Source organism: Homo sapiens, chromosome 2 (assembly GCF_000001405.40).
Source record: "Homo sapiens chromosome 2, GRCh38.p14 Primary Assembly".
Taxonomy (NCBI): domain Eukaryota; kingdom Metazoa; phylum Chordata; class Mammalia; order Primates; family Hominidae; genus Homo; species Homo sapiens.
This window is the reverse complement of record NC_000002.12, coordinates 25,369,162-25,382,585: the sequence shown is the minus strand read 5'-3', so window position 1 is coordinate 25,382,585 and position 13,424 is coordinate 25,369,162. Positions and strand designations below refer to the sequence as shown.

Genomic DNA, 13,424 nt, shown 5'->3' with positions numbered 1-13,424 from the left:
CTGCACTCCAGCCTGGGCAACAAAGAGAGACTCTGTCTCAAAAAAAAAAAAAAAAAAAAAAAAAAAGGCAGAGAACTGGGTCTTTCTGACTCCAAACTTCGTGCTCTTAATCTTCATCCTTCTATGTTATACTGAACAGAAAACAAAATTTTCTTTGGACATTTGAGGGTGAGCTGTTCTTTCTGTTGTGCATTAATGTGTTAGTTGCTGGATTCCTCCTAAACATCAGCTCCTCAAGGCAGAGATTTTAGTCTGTTTTGTTCATGTTGTGTTCCAGTGCCTGGTGCTTAGTAGGAGGTCAATAAATGAACAAATCAAAGGAAATAAATGGGGTGATGAGATAGAGAGTACCTTATCGGGGAGAGAAATGCAATGGCTGGTCACCCCAAGGAGGTGAAGGTAGGGAGAGCAGGAAGCATGAGGAGGAGCCAGCAGCAGCCCTCCCAGGGAGGAATTCTGAACAAGGCTCGGGGGAGTGAAAGAACCTGCCAGCTGATAAATGGCACAGCCTGAGTTCAACTCCAATGCCCATGGTTTAGTCTGAGCTGAACTGGTAGACTAAGGGAAGTGGAGTGGTCTTACTTAAGGAAGGGTAGAAGCCAAGTGGGAGATACAGGTAAGGAAGCTGTGACAAGAAAGGGAAACCTACAGGACAGTGGGTCTGGAGCATTCTTGGCCCATAGGGGCTGGAGTGGCTAAGACAGGGTCGTCTTTGGAGTCTCACGGGGCAAGGAATTTGTCAGCAAGGACCCTGAAATTGCTGAGGAAGAAACTGGGAGAAGAGGAAGAAGATTCTGCAGATTCTGAAATCGTCTAGTGAGTCTGAGCTAGGCCTGGGAGGAAGTGGACAGCAGCGCCAACGAGTTGATGAGAATGACATATGTGGCACGGACACCAAAAGGTCAGACTAGGCTGGGCATGGTGGCTTACACCTGTAATCCCAGCACTTTAGGAGGCTGAGGCAGGGGGATCACTTGATGCCAGGAGTTTGAGACCAGCATAGGCAACATAGCAAGACCCCATCTCTACAAAAAATAAATTAGCCGGATGTGGTAGTGCACACCTGTAGTCCCAGCTGCTTTGGAGGCAGAGGCAGGAGGACTGCTTGAGCCCAGGAGTTTAAGGCTGCAGTGAGCTATAGTCACGCCACTGCATTCCAGCCTGGATAACAGAGCAAAGCCCTATCTAAAAAATAAAAATAAAAGGTCACATTAGAGAGCAGTAGTGTTTCAGACATCCAGGAATGCTTCATAGAAATGTAGAAACAATTGACTTACCCACACAGACAAGAAAGAAGGCAGGAGGGCAAAAGGTGAAGAGATACACAGATAAATTTACACTGGTGTAAACACATGCTGCAAACACGCGCACACACACGCACACGCACATGCACATGCACATGCCAACCAAATCCTAGCATTCATGTGGAATGTTCCTGGCTGAAGACATAACAGCTGCATCTCTGGCCTCCCTTCACCTGCCCCTCCCTTCCCCAGTAGCTTTTTCCCATGGCCTCTCCTCAGTCCTTTTCACTCCACCAAAGCAAACCTAGGACTGCCCCAGCCACTGAGGCCTTGCCCTGGCCACGAACTCTAGCCCTTATCCTGGTTCGAGTCTGAGTGTGGGCCATGCCTCACATGGGAATCAGACTGGGTTTCCCTTGCCCAGCCCTCCAGGCCCCAGGGTGCTGTCTCTGCACCTGCACTCCCCTGTCCACATCAAACTGGGTTTCCCTTGCCCGGGCCTCCAGGTCCCAAGGTGCTGTCTTTGCACCTGCACTCCACTGTCCACATCAGACTGGGTTTCCCTCGCCCGGGCCTCCAGGCCCCAGGGCACTGTCTCTGCACGTGCACTGCCCTGTTCGCATCAGACTGGGTTTCCCTTTCCCGGCACTCCAGGCCCCAGGGCACTGTCTTTACACCTGCACTGCCCTGTCTGCATCTCTTCTGTCTTTCTGTGCCTCTTGCCCTTAGAGCTCCTTGTCTGTCTTTCAGTGCATATACCAGAATGTCTGTATGTCTATGTGAAATCTTTTTGTGGGAATGCCTGAATTTTTACGTATGTGACTTTCTGGTGTCATCCCTAAGGCCAAGAGTGTTAAGAGTTGGGGTGAGAGATGGTAGAGTTTTTTATGTTTGGCTCTCCACATTATATAGGTTCTAGGATATGTCCCTGAAACTACAACGTAGCTCATACATGGGCATTTTTATAAGACTAAGTGTTTTTATGGGTGGACCTCCTGATTCTCTGCCATGAGCTAGGCCTGAGATTTTACAGACCTAGGACTAACTGCAGTCACCTGGACACCAGAGATCTGTAACTGTCAACCGTAAAGAGAGAGAGTATATTTGCTTCTTTGGGGTTGAAACCATACTGACGTAATATAAACAGAATTTGGTCAGCACCATCAGGCAAACATAGTCTGCTCGATAAGGAAACTGTGAGAGTCAAATGGAACTTTTGAAGAATCTAGACCAAGCTGAACTTCCCTGCCATATTCACCCCTGCCTCACGCCTCTCCCTGTTCACCCCTGGCTGGCTGGCTGCATCCTGGGGAATGCTTCTGCTCCATCGGGGTACCCTTCCTCCTCTGCATCTCCTCAAGAGAAGTGTAACCAAGACACATAGAAGAAGCACAGACTAACACACCTTCCCCCATAGTACATCATCTCCACCCTCCACAGCCTCATGTTATGCTCCTGTGTCCTTCACAGTCTCCCCTCCCATACCCTGCCATCCCGGTGTGGGGGCTGTAAATCCAGTTTGCATCCATAAAGAGCCCTGGTGCAAGGCTGGACAGCAATGGCCCTCAGAGAACAGAACAGGCTCAGGAGGGGCCAGGCAGTGCTCGAGCCTCGGGTGAGCAAGCGCAGGGCTTTTCAAAGCAGACCATCTGCAGGAGGGGGACCGCCCTCACTCAAGGCGCAGTCATGTTCCCTTGGGGAACTTTCAGAGCTGAGTGGGCTTTGCCCCCCTCATGTAACTGCTCCCTGGATTTAAGGAGTTTTGATTCCATTTTTTAATGACTTTCCTTCTCCTGAGAAGCATCTGTCTCCATGGCTGCCTCGGGTTGGCTACAGTAGTAGAAAGTATGACTCTACCCTGCTGTCATACCTGGGTGGGAAAAGTCAACAAACGAGTAACGGGAGAAGCAAGGAAGCCCCTGGGGTGGGTTGGTCAGGGAAGCCCCTTTGAGATAGTCTGGGGCATGAGAAGACCTGGCCGTGACCTCAGTGTGTTGTTTCTGCCCATGCTGCCACAGGTTAGCAGAGGAGCCGGACACAGAGGAAGCTCAGGTGAGTACAAAGAGTCCTCTGCCTCCCCACGGCCCCTCCCTCCTTCCTCAGCATCTTCCCTTCCCCTCCCTTCCTGCAGTCACAGGTCCCTAGCCAGGGCAGTCCTAACAGGTGAAGATGCAAGAGCCCAACTGTCCCTTCCCTTTGCCCACCCCAGCCATGTGCCCTCCTTGCCCTGTTTCTAGGCTGTGTCCTGTCTTGCACAGCACTGTCTGCAGGCCTGGTCCTTGGGCATGGCCTGGTGTCCTCTGTGTTGGGATGGCATTGGCAGACCCGACACTGCTGGCTGAAACAGGGTGTGCTGAGCAAGGCCACCTCCCTGGGGAGCACTGCCTCCCATGCTCCTTTCCCACAGCCACTGCCCACTTCCTTCCTGGGATCCAAACCACAGCCAGTGCGTCCCTGGATTCTGTCACCCAGCACTGCACCGAATCACAGTCCCTGACCCACAGACATGTGATTCATGCAGGATCACACTGACTACAGGGCTGACCAAGCCGCTTCCCATGGTGCCCGGCCAAGCTGCACCTTCTCACTTCCTGAAGAAGCAATGCAGAAAAGTACGGACTGCTCCAGTGGCAGATGCTCATTGCCTTTAGGAATTAGTCATTCCCATTTTCCAGCTCAACACCTTAATTCTTTCTAGTCCCAGCACCAAGATATCAGACTTCTCCATTTTAAAATCTTGTCTTCCCTCCCCTCCTCCCACCCCCCCACCTCTTATATTTAAAAATTAGGCATCTTCCTCGAATAAAGAAGTCAGGGCCCTAGCTGCACAATCCAGAAAAGGGGTTTTTTCAGACCCTCCCAAGTCGTGTCATCCTGGAATAGCCTCTGGCCCTCTCTGCCCAACCGCGCCAGGCCATTGAAGGCCTCTGCCCGCTCCCCCGGGGCCCCTGCAGCCTCGGCCTGCGCTGACTCTGGATTGTGCGAGCTGAGGAGAGGGCAGCACCTGGGCCACGCACATTCTCTCGCTGCCCTGGAAATCACAGCGCCCCAGGGGCTTGGAGAGAGGCTTCTCCCTAAACTCACTGTGCACATTCAGGCAAGGCCCTTTCCCAAGCAAGCCTAGGCCGTGGCAGCCGAGGAGGGAAATCAGGAACTGACTCGCCCTGCAGGAGCCTGCCAGAGCCCCTCTCTCCCCGGGGCAGAAGGAACTGGGGTGCAAGGGAACGTGGCAGAGCCATGTGCCCCCACCGCCTTGTTGCACATGGAGGAAACCAATGCCCCACACCAGAAGCTCCATGCCAGAAGCAGAATTGGAGCCGGGTCTTCTGCCTCCTAATCCTGCGCTCTCTGACCCACATCAGGGGTGATGAGAAACACCAACAGCCGAGAGTTAAACTAAGAGTATAAAACTTGGGTGCCGCGGATTCATGGATGCCCAGGCCTGCGCTCTGCTGGCCGGGGGCTGAGGCTTCCTCCCTTTCCTCTTAGTATTCATCGGCACACCTCAGTCCTCCCTGCCCTTCTCCTGGGCCACAATTCTCCCCAAGAAATCACCCCATTCAAACCTTGCATTGTGAACCCAATTCTTTCTTCCACGGAAACACTTCCTGACCCTTAGGAATGATGGCAGAGGACCCTAGGTACCACCCTTCAGCCCAACGCTTGAAAGGCGCCCAGCATCCTAGCAGCCCCTCCCTGCAGGGCCTCCTGTTCACAGTAGATGTTAGCAGCTTTTGTCCTGAACCCTCAACAGTGCCCGTGACTAACGGTGAGTGTGTCTTGCGCAGGCACAGAGGACGAGGAGCAAGCTGGCGCCGACATGGCGAAGGCAAGGTCTTCCCCCAGAGGCACATTCCTCTCCATCTTTCCACCGCACACCTGGACCAGGCTTGCAGGCTGCCAGACGTCACTCCACCCGCCAGGGAGAGGGGAGCCAGAGCCGGTGGGAAGCGGGGAGGGGCTGCGTGGCACAGCTAGTGGGCCTCCCCCTGCACAGCCCTGCATGTACTAGCACCTTCATCACTCCCCTCAGGGCATGGTCTCATCTCCGCATCAGGAATTCACCTGGAGGTTGAAAAGAGAAAAGAAAAAGCACCAAGCTCTTGTGTGTTTGTGACCTGATGAAACACTTCCTGGCGTCTGGCCAGCACGTGGGGTGCTCCTGAACGTGGGGGCACAAGTTTCCTTATCTTTGACCTTTAAAAACCAACAGGTTTCTTCCAGCGTGCAAAGAAAGCGTCAGGCCTTGCTCGGCTCTGTAGACATTCACACCCTGGCCACGGTGCTAAAAATAGTCTCACACTGGTTAGGCTTCCGCCCGCCCCGTGTGATGCCGCCGCCTGCAGCCCGGGAGGGAGGGGCGGAGACCCAGCCGCGCGCCGCAGCCGGGCTGAGCCTCCTCGGAGAGGGCGGGAGGGTCTCTGCGCCGCGGACTCCGTGGCCGCCAGGGGGCGCGCCGCCGGGGGCGCTGCTCGCAGCCTCTCGCCTTAGGGGTCGATTGGGCTCGGGCACACGTGATCAAGTCCCGTTCCCGGTGATTTTCATTTATTTTTTCCTCCTCCCTGGGCTCCAGGATGTTATTTTTAGCAGAAGAACTGCTATAAATATTTATAAAGGGCAGTGACTGTAATGAAGCGAGAAGCCCCACAGCTGGCTCCCCAGCATCCCTCACCCACCTCTGCAGACCCCTGCCCTTGGCTTTGAGGAGGTCTGTGCAGAGACGGTGGGATCAACTCCTGGCCGCACACGGATGGAGTCCCAGGCAAGCCTGCCAAGGCCCAGTCAGGGTAAAATAGAAGGGGTGGGTGTTCACACCTTCCGTCCTTTCCTCTCTGTCTCTTCTCCCCCATAGCTCATCTTCCCATTGGTTGGCACTGTGTCCCCACGAGCTTTCCACGGAGTTGCGCTCACCGTGGCCCCTCTCTGGCTCTTCAGGCAAGCAGAGCTCCCTGTTTCCAAGGGCGTGGGGCCCTCTTCTCTGCCCAAGCCCCTGCTGACTCTCTGTGTTTTCAGCTCTGAGGCCAGCACTCAGGTACCGGGTGCACTCTGGTGATACCCGTTCTTGCTGAGGTTGATTTCTCGTAGAGCTAGAAAACCCGCCATTACCTAAGCCCCGAGCTCCCTCATGACTGTTGGCGTCTGCTTTAGGACCCACATGCCTGTCAGACCTTTGGAACTGGGTCCCTTTCCTCAATCCTGGCGAGGAACACAGGTGGTCATCACGGAAGGAAGATGGGCACTTCCATCTTAATTGCTCTGTGACCACTGAGCAGGCTAATTTAACCTAGGTAGACGGTTTTTTGAGAAACTGCAGCATCACTGACTCCTGGGTGAGCCAGGCTGCCGTGCAGCACCACAGCCTGGGCTGGCGCTGTTTTGCAGTGCTGGAGGACCCCGGGAGGGCTACCAAATGCATCGTGGGTCTTGAGGAAGCAACAGCTCCACCGAGTTCTTGTCCATAAGTCCCAGCCACCCTGAGCTTCCTCTTCCCTTCGCAGCCCCTCTCATCTGCTGGTGAGGCTTCAACCACTGGCAGACGTGCTCCTCTTCGGGCTGCTTACTGTGCTCCTGCAGCCCATAAGCGCTTCGGAGGGGTGCAGTTGCTATGGCAATGCCTACAGCCATCTGAATTCCTGCTGCACCTTCTGGGAGAAAAGAGCTCATGAAGAGGCATTCGGTGGATTCCCAGTCTGGCCTCTGGCCTCTGCACTGTCAGGAGTCAGCTGATGGGTTACATGCCGGACACGTGGGAGGTAGGTAGCCTGCCTTCCTTGGGAAGACACACTCTGTACCCGCAAGCCTCATGCGCCCGGACGGGTTCTCCTTGTGTGGATCAGAAAACTAAATGAAGTGTCCTACTCAGGGCTCCTAGGTAATATACTGCACCAGTGGTTCTCAGACTTAAGCATGCCCGTGAATCCCCTGGAGTGCTTGTTAAAATACAGATAGCATGGCCATGCCTCCAGAGTCTCGGATTCAGCAGGTCTTGGGTAGAACCAGAGAATTTGCAGTCAACAAGCTCACAGGTGACGGTGGTGCCGTTGGTCCAAAGACCACACTCTGAGATTCACAGGACAACACTTGGATGAAGAAGAAAACAAAGCAGTGCAGGAAGCCATCGCCCATCAGTGAAGAAGGGCCAGAGTCAGCCGTCTATTTTAAAGGAAGAAAGGGCCCTGGGCATGGGTGCTGGAACTGGGATCCCTAGTCTAAGTTGGTTTTGGTCCCCAGCAATCAATGAAGACTCTCCCAGACATGAAGGTGGGCAGCACTGAGGCAAGGCCTGTAAGGTACAGAAGACCGACATCATGGAGGCCCAGCGACAGGGAGTTACTTCTCAGTCTATAGTCTCAGTGGTAGGGAGTGCTGAAGGCCTGCCTGGCTCAGGAGGGATGACAGGGGAGAGGGGGTGTTGCAGGCACCTAACCCCCACAGCCAGAGCCTGGACACCAAGATGCTTTCCCCAGGATGCAAATACCATCTTCCACACGAAACAACATCCAGGCCCAGATGGGCTGCTTCAGGCTACCGGAAGCTCCATCTCCTATGGGCATTGAATTCTTTTCAGAGGGAAAATGATTACTAGAGAACCTAGTAATTCGATGTTACTTACAGGTCTCCCCAGTTAAAGTAGCAGATCCCAGGGACTCTGGTGCCTTCTCTGCACTTAACCTTACTTGAGAAGCCAGGACTCTGTAGGTAGTGGGCTTGGAGTCTCTCCTGCCTCCTGCACAGGCGCGTCTGCAAACAGGTGGAGGACACTGGCTCCGTCTTCCCTCTGCTTCCTACTTCCAAGGGGGGACAGCTGGGGTAGGACCATGGCATAAAAGAAATGGGCATCAAATCCTTTCACCAGTTCCAAAAAGCAATATGAGTCTACTAGTTCTGTGACAGTTTGAATGGGTTGTGACTGCTTTCATGTTGAAAATTTAAAATCTCTAAGGGAGGTCATGAGAACTAGAACTTGCTGGGAATGGAGTTGGGAGGCAGGTGTTGAAGACAAAAACACCAGGTAGCCATCCTTGTATTTCTGAAGTAAATGGAGCCTGTCATTGCTAAAGGTGGAGATTCAGAAGGGACTTATAGGCTAGAGGTGGGACTGTTGTTTATTCAGGCAGATGCTTCACGGGCACCAACTGTGTGCTGGGCACGAAGCCCCTTCCTCAGGCCTTCAGGCCTCACTGGCTCCAGGGTCTTAGAGCTTAAGGTTGGAATCTGGTCTGGGTTCGAAACTGTATAGTGAAGGGTGGGCTTGGAGGAACGGGCTGCCCTATGAACACGTCAGACTCAGGACAGTGGGTGCAAAGTGAGGCCACCCTGGGGAGGAAAAGGCTGTGGTTCCCTACTCAGTGTCTGTTCTAGGTGCTGAGAAGGATGGGTCCTTGGGCTCAGGGGTGGGATGGGAGACTGGGAGGAGTGGGACCCGAGGAACCCAGGGGTGTGTCCTTGAGTTCAAGAGTCACGGCAAACATACAGAGGCCTTACAGCCCCCTGGGACCCAGCTCACTGCTGGCTCAAAACGAGTCCGTTACCACGCAGTCAGTGATGGCCTCAGTCAGCCCCAGCAAGTCCTCAACCAGGTGGCAGAAACACCTGTCCAAAGCTTGGCCTACAGCCATGGCCACACTGCCAGGCAGAGTTCATAGGCCTGACGCCAGGGGTAGTGGCACGGGCAGATAATCTCACCCCATTTTGGCAAGGTGCACAGAGAGTCCTCAGAGCACAAGCGTGGCTGCGGGCACACCCTGGCGGGGCCCCTGGCTTAAACGGTACAGGCCGAAGGTGCTGCCGTTCTCCCCAGGAGAGCAGCCTGTGCTGGAGCCCGGGAAACAAGGCCTCTGGCTCAGTGCCTGACTCAGGACTGGGGCAGCTGTCCGCCCCGCCCCCCACCTTCCGGCCTGAAGGGCACCTGTACCCATCAGGCTTTTTGTTCAGGCCTCAGCGCGTGAGCCACACTGTCTCCACCACCATGGCGTGGTCCCAAGACCTTAGTCACTTTGTCTCTTTCCCTCCCTGCCTGGAAAGGCCTCCTGTGCCAGGCACCCATGGCCCTCACTGAGGAGATTCAGCCTGGGCTCCACGTCTGAAGCGTCTGGAAGTCCTCCCCACAGCTCCTCCCAATCCCAGGCCTGTTTCCTTTCCTTCAGACGAGGCCCCGTGGCTCCTCCTTCCTCCTCCACAAAACCTATTGGCCATGGGTGCCGACAAGAAGCAGCAGGTCCTCTGCTTCCCAGCCAGAAACAGCAGGGAGCTGCCCTGGTGAGGACCCTGCCCTCCTTGGCCTTGCTCGTGTGCCCTCCTAGGGCTGCCCTGATGGGCTGGTCTTTTGGAAAAAGGAATATGCCCTGGGCCTGCTGAGAAGGAGGCCACGCAGCGAGGAGGCAGGCGGCCCAGGAATCGCTCTGGCCCAAGGGCCTGGCACAAATGTTGGCTGTGAGGGAGCCAGGCGGGAGATCCTGCAGAGATGTTCGAGCTTCCTTCTGGACCAGCTCCTGGGGATGAGCCAGGCTGGGGACAGTGGGGCTGAGGGTTAACAAGGAGGTCTCCTGGCTGGGCTGGGACGCAGTCCCCTCCTCCGTGGGCTCCTCTTTTCTCCTGACTGCTGGTTGGTGTTTGTCCTACTTTCCTCATTGCCTAGGCAACCATTTCAGGTTCACCCTTTGCCACCCAGCCTACCCCCGGGAGCCCAGAGCCCAGCTCTTCCCACTCCCGGAGGAGGAGAACAAAGAAACGAGGCACACCGAGAACAGCAGGGTGACGCCAGGGACACGTGGGCTGAAGAGCCAGGGGCAAGGAGAGGGAAAGAGAACGAAGGGGATGAGAAGAGAGGCAGAGCTGGAGCTGACGGGGAGCCATGGACACTGGGATACGGTGGCCGCACGGCAGGCCTGAGGCCAGGGAAGGTGGAGGAAGGAAGCCAGGAAGGGCCCTGGGGGAGAAAAGCTGACAAGGAGGCCGATTTGAGGTGGACTCTCCGAGCCGCATCCTGGGCTTGTGGGAATCGTTCCTTTGTCCCATTGTTGCCACAGCTCATTAGCCCTGGATTTTACCCTAATTAGATCCCCACTTGCTTTCCACCAGGATATCCCATTAGCCAGGGCTGCAGATGACCTTCCGCTGGGATCCTGCCCCTAGCCCGGCCCCTGCCCCACGCGCAGGCCCTGACCTCACTGCCTGCCTCCTCTACCCCAGGAGGCTCTTATCTCCCCAGCCCCGCCCTTCTCCCCACATCCCACCCTTACCCCAGCCCGGTCTACAGTGCTCAAGGCGGGTGATGGAATTTCCCTGGGGGGTGTCGGCTTCAAGGAGTCCAGCTTATCTTCCTGCCTTCCGCCATCACTGTTGAGTCGAGAGGAATGAGATTGGGGTCACTGGGAGGCCTCTGGAGCCGAACTGCAAACCATGGGGTTTAAAGCCAGGGTGGAGCTGGGAGAGGCCCTTGTTCAACTCTGTTTACTGAGGCCCCTACCCTGACGGCCCACGCCCCCTCGCCTAACTGCTCTTTACCTGCCCCCATTTTATGATAGAGCCTGGGTCTTTATTCTTCCGCATGCTGTGTTAAGGGGAGACTAGGCTCCCTGGACTAGGTCACTCCCTGGCTGTGTTGTGCACGCACAGTTCCCCGCAAAAAAAAAAAAAAAAAAAAAAAAAAAAATGACTTTCGACTCAGCACACTCAGGCACACCCAAGGCAGGAACTCACTTCCAGCAGGGGTCTGGGGGATCTTAGAAGCTCAGAAACCACAGCCAGCCCCAACCACTGCTAGAGAGCACCATCCAGGCATGTGGAGAGGTACCGAGAAAATGGAACTCTGCTTGGGGAAACCAGAGAGCAGAGCTGCTTAAAGACACCTAGGAGGGGGTGAATAAAGGAAAACACTAGAACCGAAAGAATAGCGAGATCATGACACACAGGATCGCGTGTGACCGTTCTGTAAGCTGCACGCACGTTGGGCTTCTGAGTCACTGGTGACCAGATCCAGGTGGGTTTCTTCAAGAGGGCTTGGCTCTAAAGGGAAGGGAACAAGTGCATGTGAAGTGCCTACTGTGTGCCGGGTGTGCTCACCTATGTGATCTTAGTGTCATCTGCTCAGCAAAACTGTGATGTGATATTATCGATTCCCAGGGGAACAGGGCCTGAAGAGGTCGGGCGTCCTCATGTAGTTAGAAAGGAGAAACCCCATCTGTCTGTTGGGCTCTGATGCTCCATCACTTCCCACTGTCGACGAAAAGAGTTGAACTCTGTGAAATATTTGAAGAGATTTATTCTGAGCCAAATATGAGAGATCATGACCCGTGACACAGCCCTTAGGAGGTCCTGAGAACATGCGCCCAAGGTGGTCAGGGCGCAGCTTGGTTTTATACATTTTAGAGAGGCACGAGACATCAATGAAATACATTTAAGAAATACATTGGTTTGGTCCAGAAAGGCGGGACAACTCAAAGGTGGGGGAGGGGGAAGGGGTGGAGGGGGTGGTTCCAGGCTGTAGGTGAATTTAAACATTTTCTGGTTGACAATTGGTTGAGTTTGTCTAAAGACCTGGGATTCATAGAAAGGGAATGTTCAGGTTAAGGTAAAGATTGTGGAAAAAGTTCTTTTGAAGTCTAATAGTGGCTGCCCTTAGAGACAATAGATGACAAAAGTTTCCTATTCAGATCTTAGTTCATCTCTTTAGGATTGGGAGGGTCAGGAAGAAAAAGATCTAGCTACGATAATAGACATTCTTTACAGATGCAAATTTTCCCCCCACAAAAAACAGCTTTGTGCAGGGCCTTTTCAAAATATGGCAAAGAAACATGTTTTGGGGTAAAATATTTTTATTTTCTTCCTTGTCTCATAACGTTATGCCAGCCAGAGTCAGGCTGGAAAGTAAGTCACAATATATAGGGTTAAATGAAACCTATCTGATGAGAATTTATGATTTGTAGGGCATGACTCTCCAGACCCCTTAGATAGGAATTTGGGCAAGATAAAAAAAATCAGAGTTTAGTCCTCACCACAGTGTCAACTTGCTAATGTGATGGAATGGCAGCAAGATTTCAAAGAAGATTTTGGGGGAGAGAGCAGGGAGTGGCTCAGGGAAAGAAGTGGAGTGTTGAGTCAGTTGGCTTAATGGGAACCTGGTTTGCCCATTTTGAAAACCACAACGGAGAAATAATCACCCAGATCTACTATTTTTTCACCTTAAAACATCCTGGGGCCCGTCATCTTGCACCCTGGCTCTGCAGGGCAGGATTGGAAGGTCTCTGGGGGGCCCCGCTCCTCTGAAGGATCACCTGCCCCACCTGTCACATTCCTCCCTGGCCAGGCCTCACACTAAAGAGACTCGCCTGGCTCCACCAACACCCACTCCAGACTCTGTAGGGGGGTATCAGCAGAAATTGAATCTTTAGCCCCACAGAGAGGCTGTGACATTCCCACTGCCACTTAAGGGTTAGGGCTAGTCAGAGAATCATAGAACGTTAAAGTGTGAAGGAACCATCAGGACAGCTCAAGAAGCCGAAACCAAGCAAATCAGATGGCCCAGGGCCACACAGGGAAGGAGTGGAGGGGTCCCTGCGGGAGTGCTGCCCCTTCCAGGCCTCCTCTGTCACCAGAGGAGCTGGTCCTGCTGCTTAGAGTCATATTAAACCTTTGGATGGGGTATGTAAGGACACTTTCCCCTGGAAAAATGCTACGTCACTCACTTTATATCCTGGCCTTAGGCCAACTGAGCCTTCACCCCACCCTCCCTGCCTAAGTCACCTCACCAAGCATCCTCTGGTACTGACGACGATGCTTTTGGCCTGGTTACCAAGCTTTCCTGACCACCTGATGGTAGGGCCCCTCCACATGGGCTATTCATCCTCCCAGAAGCAGGTCCTCCAGTGACTGATCTGCACTAATGTGGGCAAACAGAGGGCATCCTCCTCCTCTCTCTGCTTCTTTTCTTTGCAAAATTAGTGGGACAAATAGGTACAAGTTGCATGAAAATGAGATACAGTTCTTCATTTGCCATCCACACCAGGAGCACCAGGTCCCGGAGCCCAGCTGTGCATTAGATGTTGTCTCTGCAGCACAAGGTAGGAGGCTGCAGGATGTACCTGAGAAACGCAATCGCACAAAGCAATTGTTCAGCACCAAATATGGGGGACAGAAGAGTGCTAAGGGGAGAAGACTCCAACCATAAATAAATAAAAT

General features: G+C 53.8%; 1 protein-coding gene across 27 annotated transcripts in view, besides 4 other annotated features; it reads left to right on the top strand.

Annotated features, from left to right (window-relative positions):
* Nucleotides 1-5,343, top strand: part of DTNB (dystrobrevin beta) — a 296,335-nt gene extending 290,992 nt beyond the window's left edge. For all 27 annotated transcript variants that reach the window (NR_147180.2, NM_001320935.2, NM_001351393.2 and 24 more), the window contains 2 exons: nt 3,263-3,296; nt 5,033-5,343. Coding sequence is in view for 26 of the 27 variants with exons in the window: in NM_001351394.2 (NP_001338323.1) it covers nt 3,263-3,296; nt 5,033-5,256 (258 nt within the window). In the remaining variant the exon portion in view is untranslated. The remainder of the gene's footprint in view (nt 1-3,262; nt 3,297-5,032) is intronic.
* Nucleotides 5,315-5,364: an enhancer, noted in NCBI's record as "active region_15451". NCBI's record gives its function as "activates an Ori minimal core promoter by ATAC-STARR-seq in GM12878 lymphoblastoid cells {active_cell/tissue: GM12878}" and the evidence as "EXISTENCE:reporter gene assay evidence [ECO:0000049][PMID:35858748]".
* Nucleotides 5,455-5,944: a silencer, noted in NCBI's record as "silent region_11260". NCBI's record gives its function as "represses an Ori minimal core promoter by ATAC-STARR-seq in GM12878 lymphoblastoid cells {active_cell/tissue: GM12878}" and the evidence as "EXISTENCE:reporter gene assay evidence [ECO:0000049][PMID:35858748]".
* Nucleotides 8,874-9,018: an enhancer, noted in NCBI's record as "145 bp 2:25596509 sequence used in MPRA reporter constructs". NCBI's record gives its function as "activates a minimal TATA-containing promoter with rs732076 allelic activity by MPRAs in C283T melanocytes {active_cell/tissue: C283T}" and the evidence as "EXISTENCE:reporter gene assay evidence [ECO:0000049][PMID:36423637]".
* Nucleotide 8,946: a transcriptional cis regulatory region, noted in NCBI's record as "rs732076 or 2:25596509 MPRA-significant variant associated with a GWAS melanoma risk locus at 2p23.3". NCBI's record gives its function as "allelic transcriptional activity by MPRAs in C283T melanocytes {active_cell/tissue: C283T}" and the evidence as "EXISTENCE:reporter gene assay evidence [ECO:0000049][PMID:36423637]".